Source organism: Homo sapiens, chromosome 12, assembly GCF_000001405.40.
Source record: "Homo sapiens chromosome 12, GRCh38.p14 Primary Assembly".
Classification (NCBI taxonomy): Eukaryota; Metazoa; Chordata; class Mammalia; order Primates; family Hominidae; genus Homo; species Homo sapiens.
Genome location: NC_000012.12, coordinates 128,969,483 through 128,989,320, shown reverse-complemented (window position 1 = coordinate 128,989,320; position 19,838 = coordinate 128,969,483). Strand labels below are relative to the sequence as shown.

The following is a 19,838-nucleotide window of genomic DNA, read 5'->3' as shown; positions in this document are numbered from 1 at the left end:
TGTTTTAACCAAATGTCATCCTGATACCCTCCCACTCCATAGCAGTGTCAAGTCGGTCCCTCCTCCTGACTCTTAGGTGTGTAAAATGTTTAAAATACTAACAGGATGTAAATACACTGAAAAGTAAAATTGCAAAGGTTGCAAAAGATGCAGGATTTGCTGAAATTGGTGAAATCGATGTTGGAGAATTACTTGGACCACAGGCACGTGAGGCTCTGGCAGTGCTGGAAACCGGCTAACAATTGAAGAAAAACCCAGAAGGAGGATAAGGGGGACAGGACTCGCGGAAGAAAACTTCAATTTCAAAGGAAGGAGAGAATCTCTGGGGGGTATCGATGAGGTACTGGCATGTTGTTTCTTACTTAGTTGTATGAAATATCTCTTGGCCTGGCTGGGCACAGTGGCTCATGCCTGAAATCCCAGCACTTTGGGCAGCCGAGGTGAGCAGATCACTTGAGGCCAGGAGTTTAAGACCAGCCTGGCCAACATGACAAAATCCTGTCTCTGCTAAAATACAAAAATTAGCCAGGCATGGTGGTGCTTGTCTGCAGTCCCAGCTACTTGAGAGGCTGAGGCAGGAGAATCGCTTGAACCCAGGAGTCAGAGGTTCAGTGAGTCGAGATCACACCACTGCATTCTAGCCTGGGCGACGGGGCGAGACTCCGTCTCAAAAAAAAAAAAAAAAAAAAAAAAGAGAGAAAGAAAAGAAAAGGAAAAAGAAGTATCTCTCAGCCTTATAAGGTCTTTAATGTCTTTTTCTTTTCTTTTCTTTTCTTTTCTTTTTAAATAAAGACAGAGTCTGGCTCTGTCACCCAGGCTGAAGTGTAATGGGGCCATTATAGCTCACTGCAACCTCAAACTCCTGGATTGGAGCAATCCTCCCTCCTCAGCCTCTGGAGTAGCTGGGACTACAGGCACGCGCTGCCATGTCTGGCTAATTTTTTGCTATTTTTTATAGAGATGGGGTCTCACTATGTTGCTCAGGCTGGTCTCAAACTCCTGGGCTCAAGCGATCCTCTCACCTTGGCCTCCCAAAGCACTGGGATTACAGGCATGAGCCCCTGTATACTCAGTTTCTATTATGCCTGCGTAAATAAATTTTATTCAACATAGGACAGATTTAACCTATTTTCATAATTTTGGGCTTCATTTTTCAGTATGAAGTCACAATCCAACCTTTTCTTAGACTGTCCTTGTTTTCCATGAAACTCTGGTCCGTATTCGAAGGGATGAGGTAAGTCAGCAGTTGTCAGCTTCTGCTGCACACTGGGTCACTGGGGTGTTTCGGGCCTGGGTCTCCCCTGAGAGTCTGATGCCTTTGGTCAGGGACACCACCTGAGCATCCAGATTTCTCAAAGACAAGGCTGGGAGCCACTGTTTCAAGTGGTCCTGCCAGGTACGGCTGATCCCAGGTACGGGGATCTCTGCTCACAGCATTCCCACATCAGCTCCTACCAATGACTGACCCTTTAAAGTGACATTAGAATCAGAGAGGGGAAGTGAGGGTGGGGACTGGGAAGATGCAAGGAAACAAAGAAAGAAGGAGAGAGGGAGGGAGGTGAGGAAGGAGAAGACAAACGTTTCTTCATCAGAAAATGGATAAGAAGAGCTAGCTCTCCCGTCTCATAAGAAGCTCCAGATAAATGCTAAAGAAGACAAGTTCAACCACCAGGGACCCTTCAAGGGAAGAGGTCCTGTAGCTCCATGCAAAGTACTACTGCAGAGGCCAAAAGAGGAAGGCAATTAACACGACACCAAGACACCTGCTGTGAGCTCAAATGTTTTCAAAATTCCATCCTTAACCGTACACAGGGAGTGCAGTCTTCACCACATTTTCCAGATCTGTGGGGCTGGCAAGGGGTCTGGCTGTGCCCGTGTAATCCCATTGACAAGGGGAGCCTATGCAGTCTGGTTTTTTAAACTTTAAGATGCACGATGAACCTTTGAAGGTGGAAAAGGTACTCTGTCTTACTGCTTTACTGTGAGAGTGTGGGAAAGGGCTGAACACTGGTATTTAAGGAGAAGCTGTAAGCCTCAACTCATCACTCGGACCTTCAGCCGAGTGTCAGCAATGCCTCTCTGCTACACGACACTAAGTTATTAGAGATATATATATACACACACGTGTATATATAATATAAACACACGTGTAATATACACACATGTACATATACACACATGTGTAATAGACACACGTATATACACACATCTATATATACACACATGTATATACACACATCTATATATACGCACATGTATATACACACATCTATATATACGCACATGTATATGTGTATATATCTCTATATACGCACATGTATGTGTATATATCTCTACGCACATGTATGTGTATATATCTATATATACGCACATGTATGTGTATATATCTATATATGTGTATATATACATATATGCATATCTTATATTGTGTGTATATAGTGTGTATATATGTATACTTACAAATACATATATGTATATATACATATGTGTATTTATATATACACACACACATATGTATATATAGTTTGTGTTTTGTTTTTGTTTTTGTTTGAGGCAGTCTTGCTCTGTCACCCAGGCTGGAGTGATGTGGCATGATCTTGGCTCACTGCAATCTCTGCCTCCCAGGTTCAAGCAATTCTCCTTCCTCAGCCTCCCTAGTAGCTGGTATTACAGGCATGTGCCTCCATGCCTGGCTAATTTTTGTGTTTTTAGTACAGACAGCGTTTTGAACCATGTTGGCTAGGCTGGTCTTGAACTCCTGGCCTCAAGTGATCCGCCTGCCTCAGCCTCCCAAAGTGCTGGGATTACAAGCATGAGCCACTGCACCTGGCTTAGTGTTATTTTTATTGAAAGTATTTCCCTCAATATGTAAAGGTTATAGTATCTCAATTTTATCCTGAAATGTATTTTTGAGTCATTCAAACCTGTACGTCAGCAAACTAAAAACTACACACAAAATGTCTGAACATTTTACCCAAAGGAAATCATTATACCCAAAAGACACCTGTGCTCATATGTTTATTACAGCACTATTCACAATAGCAAAGATCCAGAATCAACCTAAGTGTCCATCAATGGAGGACTCAATAAAGAAAATGTGGGGGCCATGCGCGGTGGCTCACGCCTGTAATCCCAACACTTTGGGAGGTCGAGGTGGGTGGATCACCTGAGGTCGGGAGTTCAAGACCATCCTGGCCAACATGGAGAAACCCCATCTCTACTAAAAATACAAAATTAGCCAGGCATGGTGGCATGTGCCTGTAGTCCCAGCTCCTTGGGAGGCTGAGGCAGGAGAATCGCTTGAAGCCGGGAGGCAGAGATTGAGGTGAGCCGAGATTGTGCCATTGCACTCCAGCATGGGCAACAAGAGCAAAACTCTGTCCTCCCCCGCCAAAAAATGTGGAATATATACACACAATGAATACTATTCTGCCATGAAAAGGAATGAAATCATGTCTTTTACAGCTACATGGATGGAAGTGGAGGTCATTATCATATTCACTGATACAACTTAGAAACAGAAAGACAAATATTGCAAATTTTGCCTTGTAAGTGGGAGCTAAATTATGTGTACACGTGGATGCAGAGTGTGGAACGCTGGGCCTTCGAGGGCTCAGAGGGAGGAGGGGAGGATGAAGGTTGCTTGGTGGGTACGATGTGCATTGCCCAGTGATAGATGCCCCGAAGACCCTGACCTCACCACCGTGCAATATATCAACAGAGCACAACTGCATGTGTGCCCCATGAATATATACAAATAAAAATAAATACATGTTTAGGCTGGGCGTGGTGGCTCACACATGTAATCTCAGCATTTTGGGAGGCCAAGGCGGGTGGACCACTTGAGGTCAGGAGTTCGAGACCAGCCTGGCCGACATGGTGAAACTCCATCTCTACTAAAAATACAAATAAAAATACAAATACTATATATAAATAAAAATAAATAAATGTTTAGGCCATGTGTGGTGGCAGGCGCCTGTAATCCCAACTACTCAGGAGGCTGAGGCAGGAGAATCACTTGAACCCAGGAAGCAGAGGCTGCAGTGAGCTGAGATCGCACCACTGCACTCCGGCCTGGGTGACAGAGCGAGACTCTGTCTCAAAAATAATAAAAATAAATAAATGTTTAAACATAAAGTGAACCAAGTATGAAACTAACACCTGTAGAACCCTCATGGAAAAGCCCTGGTTTTACATCTATACTTGGGTATTAAAATAGTGGCTGCATTTTAACCCCCTCTTAACTAGATGCTTGAGTGTCTGTACTTCCTTTGAAGACGCGGGGCCTGGCGGGTGGGGAAGGGGCCTGCTCCTTGCAGAACACTGCTCACCGTGGGAAGAAAGAGAGGCTATTTTCGTATGGCTAATGGTGACACACTTTATTAATTTAAAAACACGCCCTTCCCACATAGTGCGTGAGGCATGTGCACATTTTCCTAGAAGGACATGAATAGTGATGTGGAGGTACGGTGGAGGTCAGGCATCTACAGGGTCATTCGAGGAGGAACAGATTCAAGCTTTCGGACGATCAGTGTTTTGTAAATAGCAGCATCATCAGATCTAAGACAACATTGGACCTGGCAGGGCCTTTTCTTTGGGTGGCATTAATTACTCCAGATTCAGACCAGGCCATCCTCTCCCGGCCCAGGATCTGCCTCTCCCTCCTCTGTCCCCACACCTAGACATGAAAGCCATAACCCTTGGGCCCCTCAGAGGGAAAACACAAGGGGTGCGAGGGGTGGGGGGGCGGCGATGGGGGGCATTGTTGAGCAGTCCTCTCACGGCTGGGAGCCTCTGCTGCTTCCAGTTAACTGCCTTTCTGGAAAGCGATTCTATTACATGATGGAGGCAGCGGAATGAAACATTGAATTACACGGCACGAGATCCAAGCTAGTTGTTCTCATCCCCAGGGCATCAGAGTTTAAGGAGTTTAATTTGAGGCTACTTCTTTTAAAAACAAGATGTAGGTTGTGCCATTAAAAAAATGATGGTTGAAAACATGAAAGCTGAAAGTTCAGACATCCTAAAACTTGAAGCAAGGACAATGCTGGTGGAATCTTCTCCCTCGGCCCTCCTAAGCGTCGAAACCCGCTTTCACCGAACGCTTCCCACAGCAACGCCCTGCCCTGGCTTTGCCTTCTCGCCTCCTCAAAGCAGACTGCTTTCTACCCACAAGAGGTGGGAAACACCGCGTTCCCCATTGTCGTAAGGAATCCACAGGCATGCAACAATTTCAGTATTCAGTGGAGGTTCTCCCAGGCAAATTCCACTAGGAGAGGACAAGGAAGACTGCACGTCCTCATGTGACATGGATGACATGGATGGGGCGAGGCCACCATTACCATGATGGCGCGGCTGGCCCCGGACTGACCTCGCTGTGTGGCTGCAAAGCCCTGCAGACCCAAGCTCCATCCTGCCAAAGGCTGGAGGCTGGTGACCCTTCCGACATCCATCCCCGGGTCCCTGATGTGGGAAGGGGAAGAGCCCACCCTGGACCCAAAGCCTCAGGCCTCCATCTCAGGGTCACGCGGGCGATTTGCAGGCTATGCGTGACGTGGCGCTTGTTCCTTCCTGGTTTTCCACTCAAATTCAGCCAAGAGGTGGGCGGGGCCTGCGGGCAGCCTGGCCACTTTTCTAAAAAGCACAACTTTCAATTCCACCATTGAAAAGTGAGCTGTGCCGGGCGTGAGCTCACTCACAGCGCTTTCTAGTGTTCAGAGAAGCCTCGGGTCACCCACGTGCCTGTCAGAGTCCTGAGATCACAACAAAAATCCTGCGAGGACTCGGCTCAGCTGACACGTCTGTTTTGCTTTTGCCTTTCAAACTGGCAACGATGGGGAGAGGTTGGTCAGAAGGCAGGCGGGAGGAGTCTGAACCATGACTGCTTGAAAATAAGCCTCTATTGTCCACACCAAAGCCCTAAGGCAGGTAATCAAATTCTCTCCCAAATTCCCTGAAAACCAGTTCCCCTTTCCCTGTCCCAGTCAACCCAGTCACTCATGCACCTCCATCAGGACTGGCTGGTGAACACGCCTGGGACAGCATCTGAACGCACAGAAGGATATGGGATGAATGCAGTGGCTCTGGGGACTCACGACTAACATTTTCTAGGATTCCGCTGAGGCTGGTTTTATTTGAACTGCACTGGGCCCACGTGATCCAGAACTCTGTCTCTGAGTGTGCACCCAGAGCTGTGTGTCAGAGAGCAGGTGTCTGATGAGGCGGGGCCCTCAATCTTCAGTGCTTCCTTCCAGCTTCCTGATGAGCTGTTGGTAGGTGTCTCTTTCCACCTGCCATGAATGATACATTCTCACGTATTCCCTTCCGTTCACTACGATTTCCTTTTCTAATGCAGGATCACTAACCAGTCTCTTTGCCAGATGAACAAACTCCTGCAAAAAAGGAAGGAGAAGTAGACATAAATCACTGATGAAGGGAGATTTTGCAAATGCACCCAAGATCCTGTGTCTGCATTGGCTGCTGGCCTTGCCCTTGTCTGCCTCCTGGGCCTGGAGAGAGTGACTTTTAGGAGGGATGGGAGTTAATGCAAACACTGAGACTGAGTAGGAAATAATATATATGCACACACACACACACGCACACATACATGCACACACACATATGCACACACATGCACACACACGCACACATATGCTGGGATGAACATCACGAAAAATACTGGAGCCATCAACTCCCTTCCCTCAATCAACAAGACCAGCTGTCTTCCCAAGGACTCTCAGATCCACAATGTCTTCCCTCTCATGAGTGGAGCCTCAGATGTGAAATTAGGTGTTACCCCAGAGTCTGAGCCCCATACAATATGACCCCCAGCCCATTTCTTTTCCTTTGTGTTGTTCTGTCCTCTTCCCTGGGTGCAGAGCCAAGCCTGTCTTCACAATACGGGTGGTATCTGCTTTAGTGGAAAGCACTAGTGCTTCAGAGCCAGACCTGGGTTCAATTTCTTCTGAACGACCTCACTTTGCTGTGTGGCCTTGGGCAAGCTAGTGAGCCTCTCTGAGCACCACATTTCCCATCTGTAGAGGAGTGATGCATACTTAATCGGTAAACCCAGCCCTACCCCAAGTCCCAGGGGCTCCCAGCATGAAGAAGGGAGGGAGGGGGGTTTATCAGCTCTTTGCTTTTCTGGCCTTTCCTCCCGCGGCTCAGCTTCGGGCTGTGTTTCCGTTTATGCTCATTACTGAAGAAGGCTTGCAGACCCTTGGTGCAGCAATGAAAGAGTGCTCCTGCTGACCTGGTTTTAATATCAAAGCCCTTCAGGATTGGAAAAAAAATTAGAAGTATTTTCACTGTTAAAGGGTATTCAGGGAGAGGAGGGGACCAGTCGTTACTCTCCATGCGCGTGTGTAAGTCAACAGCAGAGTTCTTGACACGGGAGGCGTGGGTTTAAATCCACACCCTACCCTTCACGTGAGCGGCAGTGGGTCAATTTCTTACCCTCCCCAAGCCTCAGCTCCTCAACTGTCAATCAGGGGTAATCACATACCTCTTTCCTAGGGTGTTGAGAGGATAGCAAATGAGTTACTGCAAACAAAGAATTTTGAGCAAAGCCCGGCACATACTTAGCTCTCATTACCATGGTTATTCCCCCACAGCCCATGTAAATTCCAAGAAGGCAGCAATGCCTAAGATCAACATAGAGTGCTTTTGCTGTTTAAAAGGCACATAAACATATTCTCAAAATTATTGTTAATTAAATGTTGAGTGCCTTTTATAGCTGGCAATATAAATAGCAATATTTATCGTACAGTAGAATTATATGTTTATAGATTACGTTTATACTTCATAGTAAATTGGTGGTCGTTTTATAATAAAAATATGTTTATTCCCGTTTCAGGGTAGAACAACATTCTTATTAAAATCATTTGAGATGCTTATAGCTGGGTATATTATTTTATGATGCTGGTCATATCTTTGATTTATCTGACGTGGAGACTTTGGTGGAAACCCAACCCCCTCCTTCCCCGCTCTGCTTACTATTCCTACAGAATGCATGGCCCTTTTACAACCAAATCCTCAATAAAAGAGTTTCTAGGAACAGATTGTGATAAAACACACTCTTCTTTTCTCTCCGCATGGAAAAGTGAACGAAAAAACATAGACTTAAATAAAGCAAGAGAGAGGGGGGTTATGAGTAAGCAACGTCTTGGCTGCTGGCTTAAAACCCTGGATGAGTGGCAGAAAGAAAGGAAAGGAAAACCATTAGCAAAAGCAAAAATCTCTCTTGAATCCTAAGTCACTCCCTGAGGCTCTGGGATTTTCTTCTGGACTAAAAGCTCCTGTGTGGCTGCATCGGGAATCTGCTGGACACGCGCCTGTAGACGTGAGAAATCCATGTGGACACAGACTGTCGTGTGCTTACCAGCGAAGATGGTTTGCAAAGATGGCCACACCCTCTATCCCTGTATGCACATCTCTTTGCGATATGACACTGCCACTGTCCCCGTTGAGTGGGTGTGGTCTATTCCCCACCCCGCCCCCGATGAATCTGACTTGTTCGGGTAATTTGCTTTGACTGACAGGATATATCGGAAGTGATGCCGTCTGCCTTCCACACAAAGCTTCAAAAGCCCTTATAGCTTCCATGCGCCCCGGCCCTGGAGACCACCAGGTAAAGCAAAGCCTGGGCTAGTCTCCTGGGGGAAGGGAGGCCATGTGAACAGGGACACTGAGCAGTGACCAACACCATGAGTGAGGCCGTCTCGGAACATCCAGCTCCAGGCCAGCCGCCAGAAGACTCTTGCTGGACCAGTGGCCCCAGGCCACTCACCAGATCAGCAGAAGCACCACCCCGCGAATCCAGCTCAAACTGCAGACTCGGAAAACTGCAAACAAATCAAATGGCGGTAGTTGTAAGGCACTGACTTTTGGGATTCTTAGTTACACAGTGATGTATAACTGACACTCTTGCCAGGCACTCAGCTCCTCCTCTTCAACAAGAGAACCGTGAATGTTTGAAGTTCTACCCCTTTACAACATGGTCTGGGAAGAAGACCCTGTCTCCACTTCCAAAAGTTGGTCCTGATTTGTCCGAGCCTGTTGTGGGGTCGCAGACACACCCTGGGCTGACCCCAGCCACCCCCACCTGTGACGTGAGTGTGGGTGGACTTGCCTCCAACCAACAGAATATGGCAAAGGTCCCGGGATGTGGCTCCCTCGACAGGGTGGTGTCACACAGGACTTCATCTCAGCAAAGCAGAGCAGGGGACACCCTATGTTGCCAGGCCGTGGGGCAAGAAACCACAAACAGTCCCGACTTATGATGGTTCAGCTTAAGGTTTTTCAGTTTTTCAATGGTGTGAGAGTGAGATGCATTTGGTAGAAACTGTACTTCAGGCACCCATACAACCGTTCTATTTTTACTCTCAGTACAGTAGTTGATAAATTATATGAGATATGCAAAACCGTACTGTAATACAGTCTTTGTGTTGGATGACAGCCCAACTATAGGTTAGTGTAAGTGTTCTGAGCACTGATGAGGTAGGCTGGGCTAAGCCGGGATGCTCCGGAGGTTGGTGTATTAAGTGCATTTTCTCATCTTTTTTTTTTTGAGACAGAGTCTCGCAGTGTTACCCAGGCTGGAGTAGAGTGGTGCAACCACAGCTCACTGCAGCCTCAGCCTCCTGGGCTCAAGAGATCCTCCCACCTCAGCCTCCCAAGTAGCTGGAAATATAGGCACATGCCCCTTATCTGGCTAATTTTTGTATTTTTTCTGGAGACGGGGTTTCACTGTGTTGCCCAGGCTGTTAAGTGCATTTTCAGCTTCCAGTGGGTTTATTGAGATGTAGCCCATCACACATCCAGGGGCATCTGTCCTGGCAGCTTCTAAGAGCTGAGGGTGGCCCCTGGCCAACAACCAGCGAGAGAACAATGGCCTTAGTCCCACAGTCACAAGAAACTGAACCCCGCCACCAACCGTGCCCTAGAGGAGAATGTGGCCCAGCCACCGAGAGGGACTGGTGGGACATGAGGCCCCAAGCCGAGGACCCACCTGGGCTGTGCCCAGAGCCTGGACCTGTAGAAACTGCCAGACAGCAGGCAGGTGTGGCTTCAAGCTGCTGAGTTTGTGGTGATTTGTTACATGCAGTAGAGAATGAACACTGTTACCCTGTTCTCCCCTGCCAACGTTTGACCCAAGTCTGGCCACTGAGATTGTCAGAGGCGTTTGAACCAGAGGAACTCCATCTTGAATAGCAGCTGGGTAAACTGAGGCTGAGACCTGCTGGGCTGCATTCCCAGGAGGCTAAGGCATTCTAAGTCACAGGATGAGATAGGAGGTCGGCACAAGACACAGGTCACAGAGACCTTGCTGATGAAACAGTTTGCAGTAAAGCAGCCAGCGGAAACCCACCAAAACCAAGAGGACGATGAGCATGACCTCCGGTTGTCCTCACTGCTACACTCCCGCCAGCCCCATGACAGTTTACAAATGCTATGGCAACGTCAGGAAATTGCCCTATATGGTCTAAACAGGGGAGACATGAATAATCCACCCCTTGTTTAGCATATCATCAAGAAATACCATAAAAATGGGCAAACAGCGGCCCTCACGGTGCTCTGTCTACGGAGTAGCCATTCTTCTACTCCCTCACTTTCCTAATAAACTCGCTTTCACTTTACGGACTCACCCTGAATTCTTCCTTGCGACAGATCCAAGAACCCTCTCTTGGGGTCTGGATCGGGACCCCTTTCCCGTAACAAGATGGGAGGGAGAGATCAGCAGTCAGTGTCTTCTGGAAAAAGTGGTTTCCTCCTTCTAAGAAGAGAACACTAGGAACGACTGCCCCCTCCAGCCTCTGAGGCCACCCAGGTCGCATGGGGAGCCCGGATCCACTGCAGCAATTCCCACCGACCTCAGGACGATGCCGCACACAGGAAGGCAGGGCCAGACACTCACACGGAGGAGGAGAGCCGTGCCCGCCCTGACATGCCATGCCGGACATCAGCCATGGCTCTGGAATCTGACACCGGGCACCTTATCAAATGCACTGGAGAGCTACACAGCAGGACTTGCAGACCTGAGTGTCCCTGAGGCAGATCCTTCCAGCCCAGGTGCTGCAGGTTTCACACAGGTTTCAGCTGGGAGCTGCGGAAAAGCCGATTGGCTGACAGCCACACACACGCACTGTAACCCCGGAGGAGGGGGTGTCCACTCAGGATCTTCTGCTTGGCTATGCAGTGATCTACTCTTGAAAATTATTTATGAAAATAACTCACAGGCCGGGTGCGGGGACTCATGCCTGTAAACCCAGCATTTTGGGAGGCTGAAGTGGGCAGATTACCTGAGGTCAGGAGTTCCAGACCAACCTGGCCAACATGGTTAAACCCTGTCTCTACCAAAAATACAAAAAAATTAGCTAGTCATGGTGGCACACACCTGTAATCCCAGCTACTCAGGAGGCTGAGGTAGGAGGATCGCTTGAACCTGAGAGGCAGAGGTTGCAGTGAGCTGAGATAGCGCCATTCATTGCACCCCAGCCTGGGCGACAAGAGTGAAACTCTGTTTCAAAAAAAAAAAAAAAAGAAAAAAGAAAAAAGAAAAGAACTCACAAGGCATTATAGAGGGCAGACGCTAAAAACTCAAAGCAAAACCAAGTACAGAAATTCCATCTCTCAAGAGAGTTTAAAACAAGCCTCACCTGTTCCTGATCAGCGGTGGGAAACGCAAATGCCTTCCGGGGCCCAGCAGGTGAAGTGGGAGGTGCACACAGCCACATGGTAAATACAGGCCTATGCTGGTTGCCGCATTTCTTTTCTTTTCCAAGAGAGGTCTAAATTCTGGATATTTATGTAAAAGTGTTCCATGTTAAATATCAACAGGTAATTCAATATTTTAAGAATACAGCAAAGTAAACAAAACACATGTGCAGACCAGATGTAGGTCCAGGGCCACAGGTGTGCCAACGCTGGCTCAGGTAATGCACTTGTGATGTTAAATAATAATAATAATCATGCAAAAGAGCATGGTTTTGTCTTTAGAGAGTAATTACTCAATTAGTTGATGACCGTCCTCAGAGCTTCTTCCTTTCTGAGGAGTCTGGAGCTGCTGGTGGAGCATTTCTCATTGAATCCTTTTGACCTGCTCCATCCCCCTGAGGTTTCACCAAGATCCAGAGGAAAAGAAGTGGTGGCCATTTTGTTTTCTTGTTTTGCTTTTGAGATGGAGTCTCTCTCTGTCGCCCAGGCTGGAGTGCAGCGGCGCGATCTCGGCTCACTGCAACCTCTGCCTCCCGGGGTCAAGCGATTCACCTGCCTCAGCCTCCCAAGCAGCTGGGATTACAGGCTTGTGCCACCACGCCCGACTAATTTTTGTTTTTTCAGTAGAGACAGGGTTTTGCCATGTTGGCTAGGCTGGTCTTGAACTCCTGGCCTCAAGTGATCCACCTTCATTGGTCTCCCAAAGTGCTGGGATTACAGGTGTGAGCCACTGCGCCCAGCCAGTACCCATTTTATAAAATGAATATTAGAACCTCATTACAATCCTTCTCATGATGATGTCACCTCAAAGCCATAGAACAGAAGGGGAAAAAAACTCCTCCACGAGAAGCAAAAGCCTTGAGCAGGATGCATGCTGGGGCTGGCAGATTTAAAACGTTACGGTTTTAAAGAGCATTACATTCTGACAACCTTCAGCAAGTGATATATACTTATTTTTCCAAGATGAGCTACAGTCAATCACAGGAAAACTCTTGAATTTCAGGCTTGGTGTGTTAAACTAAACAGCCCCGAAGCTCCTCTCCCGCTGCTTCAAATACGACAGCTTGTCGATGGGAGACGTTGACGAGGAAGTGTCTCAAGGCTGGCGCAGGCCGCCGTCGTTAAAGATCTCGGGTTTTCCTCGGGCTTTTCTGGTTGGAGGCTTTGAGTTAATTAAGGCTTCGACGGTGGCTTTGCTTCTCAAACCTTGCTGTAAGACTCTCTAAGGGAGCTTGTAAAACACACACGCCCCACATACCCGCCCTCAGTCCCCGAGATACTGATTGGGTGGGTGGAGGGTGGGGTTCAGGAATGAGCGTTTTCTAACAGTGTCCAACAGCGCCCCCAGGGGATTGCAGGAAGCCTGACAGGTCTAAGGCAACCTGCCGTGCCTGCCTCATTTTCCAAAAATTATTTGGTCATGGGACAGATTTATTTTGTTGAAAACTGCAAGTTGTGAGGCTCCTCCTTCAAGACCTCAATGCCTAGAAGAGGAACGTGCATCTGACTGTGGTACTTTTCTTGTACACGGCACCATCCCTCTGGTCACATTTTATGGCACTATCCAAACTGTCAAACTGTCGCCGCTGACGACACATCAATGTGACCATGTCATCACCCCGACTGCCAGCGTACGTTGATTGTTCTCCCAGTAGCTCCTGCATCGGGTAAAGTCAGGACCATGCAAAAGAACACGAAGCTCTTCTCTAAACTCTTCAGCATGAACCTTCCACCCACCTCTTAAAACACAGAGTAGTCATTGATTTATAGGAGAATTGAAGTTATTTCACCCTGAACATCATGGTTACAGTTAGGGGCTCACTTTAAAATAAGTATCAAAAACAGCCATTAGGGGGCCGGGAGCTGTGGCTCACACATGTAATCTCTGCACTTTGGGAGCCCAAGGCGGGTGGATCACTTGAGGTCAGGAGTTCAAGCCCAGCCTGGCCAACATGGTGAAACCCTGTCTCTACTAAAAAACACAAAAATCAGCCTGGCGTGGTGGCACGCGCCTGTAGTCCCAGCTACTCCAGAGGCTGAGGCAGGATGATTGCTTGAACCAGGGACCTGGAGGTTGCAGTGAGCTGAGATAGCGCCACTGCACTCCAGCTTGGGTGACAGAGTGAGACCCCGTCTCAAAAGAAAAAAATAAAAAACAAAAAAACAGCTATGGGAATCTTCTGCAGATGGAAACTGAGCAAGCCAACTGGGTAGGGTCAGAAATAACCTCTCAGTCAATGAGCCCTGTGCATAGCAATTACTCAATACAGAGCCAGAGGACAAGGTGGTAGGGTGGGGACTCTGACCCCTACTCACGATGCTTGACTTCCCCCCGCCCCCAGTCATGATGCCTGAGTCTGACGTCCATTCCAAGACTGACCCCCAGTGAATCTGCCAGTGGGCCCTGTGTAAGCACGCTGAGCCAGGGAGGCTCCGTGCTCAGACCCTTTGCCGGGACAATGCCTGAGCGTGTATCTAACAGGCCACCCACAGACATGGTGGGTGCTCAGGAGTGACGGAGCGTGGGAGTCTGTAGCATGAGGAAGGAGGTTTGCAGGTGCAGGTGCGGGGGGGCACTAAACAAAGGAAAGCCAGCAGGTGAGAAAGCTAATTCCCATCCGATTCATCTTCACTGCTGGTGGAGGGGAGAACAGCCTCAATGAGGGGCAAATGCTTCTTTCTTCAACACTTCTTTAGCGAAGAGAGAGCTGGCCTCTGGCCAAGGGCCTCCAGTGGAGGTCAGGATCCAGCCAGAAATTAACAACAGCAGCCAACATGCATCCAGTGCTCAAAAACGTACACGGAATGAGGCTTCAGAATTCAGGACCTGGGGGATTTTAGTAATTCAGCTGCTATAGCCTTCTATTACATATCATCTCCAGCGAGGTCTAAGGCCATGCCCATCAACAACAGATCAGTGTTTCTTAATCAAAATGTATGAATAGTCCCGTGACGCAGGACAAACAGCCCTAGGTGACTTCACATCAGTTCAGACAGGAGTTTTGGCACCAAACTCACGAAAAAGAGTGGTCTTATGGATGGTGAGACAGTAAAACTCCTCTTTCCCTTCTGGCGTTTGCACAGCAGAGGTCGATTGTGCTGGTCAAAGGACAGCTGTTATTTGAGGAGGGAAAACAGTGCAAGACCTGGGTAGCTAACAGCAGGGTCACTGACCGTCGGAGAACCTGTGTTTTATTCCTGCCATTCCCGGGGCTCTGTGGCTCATGAAATGCACGATGCAGGGTTAGTGTGGCTCAAAGGCATTGCTGTGGCTGGGGTAGGAGGGAGCAAGAGCCCTTGCCATCTGTGAGCCGGGTGGGTCCGTAGATGTCCGTGTGAACAAGGACTCCGGCCATCAGCCAGGTACCTGCTAGTAAAAACGCACAGAGCTGGCAGGTGGGTCCCGACTGCATGTTTTCCAAGCGCTTTTTGGATTTTGAAATTGCAGAAAAGGAACTAGGAATTTGGACTATTCCTATGCGCCCTCTCCCCCTCCACACGCACAGATCAAGAGATGGGAGCCCAGGTCACCTGGGAACCTGCCTGAGGTTAACACATCACTGAGTGGCAGAAAAGGCATCTAGACCCAGACTGTCCCCCTCTGAGCACCGCTGCTGCATGTGGTGTGGAGCACAGATCACCAAGCGCCCCCCCCACACACACACACCCTACACACACACACACACCCCCTACACACACCCCCTACACACACACCCCCTACACACACACACGGGAAACCTGGGAGCCACCGATGAAGCTAAAAACAACTTCAGGAATATTTTCTGTGCTTCTCATTCGCTCACTTTCCAGACGATGGGCCGAGTAGAACACTAGCCATTTCAACACACACCCGGCTGGCTGAAAGGTGCTTCTGCTGCTCTGGTGTGCTTTGGGGGTTGGTGGGGAGAAGGTGGGCATCTTGAAGGAAAGAAGAAGGTGAGAGGCAGAAAAGGGAGGGAAGAGGGGGACCGGGAGACCTTCCTCTGGGCTTGTGTGACGGCTTGGCGGGTTAGAGCAGGAGGAAGTTGGAGGGAAAGAGCAGCCCATTAAAGTGCGGCGGTAAATCTGCCATTCGTTCTGGTTATGCCTGGGGGAGAGGAAAGAAACACAAGCAGGCTGGGGTGGTGGCTCACGCTTGTCATCCCAACACTCTGGGAGGCCGAGGTGGGTGGATCACTTGAGGTCAGGAGTTCAAGACCAGCCTGGCCAACACAGTGAAACCCCGTCTCTACAAAAATACAAAAAAAAAAAAAAAAATAGCCAGGTGTGGTGGCACATGCCTGTAATCCCAGCTACTGGGGAGGCTGAGGCAGGAGAATTGCTTGAACCCAGGAGGCGGAGGTTACAATGAGCCAATATCGTGTCACTGGACTCCAGCCCGGGCAACAGAGCGAGTCTCAAAAAAAAAAAAAAAAAAAAAAAAAAACCAAGCAAACAAACAAAACAGAAAAGACAAATACTTCATAATTTTACCTATATGTGGATTCTTAAAAAGTCAAGTTCATAGAAACAGAGTAGGAGGTTGGTTACCAGGGGCTGGCAGGCTGCAGGAGAGGAAATAAGGAAACACTGGTCAATGGTTCCGAAGTTTCAGTTAGGAGGGTCACATTCTGGAGACCTATGGGGCAGCCTGGTGACTCTAGTATACTTGAAAGTTGCTAAGTCAGTGGATCTTAAATATTCTCATTACAAAGAAAAGGTATGTGTGGGGATGGAAATGTTAATTAGCTCGATTTCATCATTGCACAATGGATGCACACAGCGAAACACTAAGTGATACACCATACATGTATACAATCTTTAAATTTGTCAAGCAGACCTTAATAAAGCTGGAAAGCAGAGTATGAACCTCAGCTGCACCTTTTACCAGGTTCTGGGCCTTGAGGAAGTTAACTCCTCTGTGCCTAGTTTGCTCATCTAGGAAATGGGGCTGATAAGAGCACATTTGTCATTGTGCAGGTTAAACGAGATAATCCACATTTGTATCTGCAGAGCAAGCATTCAACAGATGCTAGCCATCTTCCTTATGATGGGTCTTGTTTTCTGTGTTTTTTTCCTCCCAGAACATGTTAGCCTCAGTCTTTGGGGTGAAAGGAGGAGCACCCAGTCACACAGTTGCTCCCCGGTTCTTCCCGGGCCACAATTCCCAGCCTCCCTAGCAGCAGGTGTGATGTAACTGGGTTCCAGCCAAGGGAGCATGAGCAGAGAGGGGCGTGTGCTCCCTCCAGCCCAAGTCACACATACCTCCCATGGTGGACCCTGTCTTCTCTCTCCCGCAGCTACCTACACGTGGAGCTGGAGCCAGGCCATGGAAGGAGCCTGGGCTCTGAGTGACCGCATGGGCGGTGGTCACAGACCAAAACAACCAGCTCTGGCCTCCAGAAGAGCGAGAAATAATGTCTCCCAATGCTGCCCTCCTGAAGTGATGGGGCCCATTAGAGCAGCTGCCACTTCCTGTTGGCACCCTGGTCGTCTCATGGCTTTGCCCCGCATGCAGCCCAGTTCCGCTGCAGCCCAAGATCCCCAAGGGACAGCTTGCTCATTCAGACATGTGGCAGCGACCCTGGAGAGGGAGCCTTGACGTGTGCGACAGAGAGTCAGGGAAAACCACAGAGACCATTCTCCCGTATAAAGTGCAAACAATGGATTCTCCCGGCAAAACTCAAAAGAAGGCTGAGCTCACTAATGCGGAACGATGAGGTCAATGGCGCACAGAAAGGGAGAGAGGAGGGAGGGAGGAGGGAGGGGGGAAGGGAGAGAGGAAGGGAGGGAGCAAAGAAGGGAGGAAGGGAGGGAGCAAAGAAGGGAGGAAGGGAGGAGGGAGGGAGGAAGGGAGGGGGGAAGGGAGGAGGGAGGGGGGAAGGGAGGATGGAGGGGGGAAGGGAGGAGGGAGGGGGGAAGGGAGGAGGGAGGGGGGAAGGGAGGAGGGAGGGGGGAAGGGAGGAGGGAGGGGGGAAGGGAGGAGGGAGGGGGGAAGGGAGGAGGGAGGGGGGAAGGGAGAGAGGAAAGGAGGGAAGAAGGGAGGGAGGTAGGGAGGGAGGGAGAAAGACAGGAAGAGAGAGAAGGAGAGAGAAAGGGACAGAAGGAGAGAGGAAGGGAGAGAGGGAGGGAGGTAGAGAGAGGGAGGGAGGGAGGCAGAGGGAGGGATGGAGGGAGAGAGGAAGGGAGGGAGGAGGAGAGGAAGGGAGGAGGGAAGAAGGGAGAAAGGAAGGAGGGAGGGAGAAGAAATCAAAGAAAATGGGAGCAAAGAACAGATGAAGAAAAGGAGGGAGGAAGAAAGGAGGGAGATGAAGGAAGGAAGGAGGGAGGGAGGAAGGGAGGGCAAAAGAAAGACAATTTCTAAGCCAAAAGCATTTACATGGGATCTAAGCACCCAGGCAGGAGTAGGCGATCCTGTCGTTTTGCCGCGTGGCACTCAGCACCAGAACCTGTGACTGGCATGAAACTGTCAGAGACTACTTGCTAGGCATGGGGACAAAATCCGACAGGTGCCAATGATTGGGCGGGATGACTGCTGTCATCTGCGACTTTGAAAAGAAAAAGAAATGAGAGCAGTTAAAGTACAAGTGTGTGGCGTGCTGCATCGCTCACTATCAGATGAAAATAAAAAAACACGCCCTCTGGAAGGGTTGCGCCTTGTACGCCGGGGCATAATCATCCCTTCCAGTACTCACTGAGCACCCAGTCCATATCAGAGTCCCTGCGAGGGACAGCTGATGAGTAAACATGCCTGACTGCTGCCCTCGGGAAGCTTCCAGGCTGGGGACTGGTGTTTATAGATGGCAAAGAGTGCAGTGTACACAGACACAGGTGCGGGGACAGAGGAAACCCAAATGGGAACCCCAGTCACAGTGGGTGGCCACGAAAAGTCCTTCCAAGGTGATTTCAACCAAGAAACATTTGAGGAGGTGCCAGCCGTGGGCGCAGCTCGGTTAGAGACAGAGGGTGAGCAAAGCTCAGGTGCCGGACAGAGAAGCCTGGAACGAGGAGGGGGCAGCGCAAGCTGTGCAAGGCCTCAGAAGCCAGGCCAGCAGTGGCATTTTCTTCTAGGTGCAAAGGGGAAGCCACCAGAGGGTCCTCAGCTGCAGTGGATAGAAGCGGACTTTGACTTGGTGCCTGTGGCTGCGGGGAGGGAGTGGGCGGGCTGGAAGGAGGAGGCTGCTGGAACAGCCCAGGCAAGACCCTACAGCCCCTCGGTCCGGGAGTGCAGTGGAGATGGGGTCCAGCTGCGTTTGCAGACAGAGCTCAGGAGAAGTGGGACAGATGGGAAGTGGGGCTCAGGGGAGAGGGCGCGGCGGGCTTGGGAGCCCAGGACCCAGGACGGTGTGCCCAGCTGCTTGTGCACGCACCTGCAACAGGCAGGGGCTGAGGCTCCAAGCAGGCCTTCCCCTGCAGCATTACCCCTAAGGCTGCAGCCCACCGGGGTCCTCCACAGACCCTGGCCCGGCTTCTACCAGTGCCAACATGTCACCATCCTCTTCCTTCTGAATTCCAGGATACCCCAGAAACGGCCTTCGGAGCTGATTCCTACAGCAGCGTTGTTTTGATGTGAGGCAAGCACCCCGCTGACTGGGGACTGCATTTGTCAGGGCTGACACAGATCACCAGGAGGCCTCCAGGAAGCGCACACAGGCAGAGGCAGGGGGAGGGGAGGGTCTCTCCATGCCTGGCCCCTCCCCTAATCACAGTCCCCAGCTGGAGCCTGCGGGCTCACACTCCTGGCAGGTGCCCAGCAGGCTTTGCAGAGCAACAGGTGCACCCACGCGAGGGCCCAGGAGATGGTGGAGAGCCAAGTGTCAGGATGACGCAGAGATGCCTCCTCCTGTTCTCAGAGGTGGGGACTGAGCTCACAGCGGGAAGGAAGCTCTTCTCTCTCTGCCTCTTCCCTCTCTGTATTTTCAGAGAATTCCAGACGCGATGCAAGCAGGATGCTCCCTGCTTGGTCAGGAGTGAGGCGGCCAGGAGGAGCCCCGAGTGCCTCCGCACCTTGGTGATGGCCCAGCCTCTGTGCCTGAGCAGTGAGCCCCACCTTGTGGCTCACCCGCGTCCTGGCCCTGCTTGCCGCGCAGCAGCTCAGTGCACACTCAGCTCGGTGCACACCCAGCTCGGGGCAAACCTGCCCT

The 19,838-nt window shown here is 49.9% G+C and overlaps 1 protein-coding gene across 11 annotated transcripts in view, besides 3 other annotated features; it reads right to left on the bottom strand.

Annotated features, from left to right (window-relative positions):
• Positions 1-4,352: 4,352 nt before the first annotated feature.
• The window catches only part of GLT1D1 (glycosyltransferase 1 domain containing 1), a 131,491-nt gene continuing 116,005 nt past the window's right edge, over positions 4,353-19,838 (bottom strand). For 10 of the 11 annotated variants that reach the window (NR_159493.1, NR_133646.2, NM_001366889.1 and 7 more), the window contains one exon: positions 4,353-6,392. Coding sequence is in view for 9 of the 11 variants with exons in the window: in NM_001366889.1 (NP_001353818.1) it covers positions 6,231-6,392 (162 nt within the window). In the remaining 2 variants the exon portion in view is untranslated. Of the gene's footprint in view, positions 6,393-11,662; positions 11,797-19,838 lie in introns of those variants that run through there. The other variant, XM_047428371.1, reaches the window with a different exon arrangement.
• Positions 12,260-12,764: an enhancer, noted in NCBI's record as "H3K4me1 hESC enhancer chr12:129461102-129461606 (GRCh37/hg19 assembly coordinates)". NCBI's record gives its function as "activates a minimal SCP1, AML or CMV promoter by ChIP-STARR-seq in primed H9 embryonic stem cells {active_cell/tissue: H9 hESC(primed)}" and the evidence as "EXISTENCE:reporter gene assay evidence [ECO:0000049][PMID:30033119]".
• Positions 16,598-17,097: an enhancer, noted in NCBI's record as "H3K4me1 hESC enhancer chr12:129456769-129457268 (GRCh37/hg19 assembly coordinates)". NCBI's record gives its function as "activates a minimal SCP1, AML or CMV promoter by ChIP-STARR-seq in primed H9 embryonic stem cells {active_cell/tissue: H9 hESC(primed)}" and the evidence as "EXISTENCE:reporter gene assay evidence [ECO:0000049][PMID:30033119]".
• Positions 17,098-17,599: an enhancer, noted in NCBI's record as "H3K4me1 hESC enhancer chr12:129456267-129456768 (GRCh37/hg19 assembly coordinates)". NCBI's record gives its function as "activates a minimal SCP1, AML or CMV promoter by ChIP-STARR-seq in primed H9 embryonic stem cells {active_cell/tissue: H9 hESC(primed)}" and the evidence as "EXISTENCE:reporter gene assay evidence [ECO:0000049][PMID:30033119]".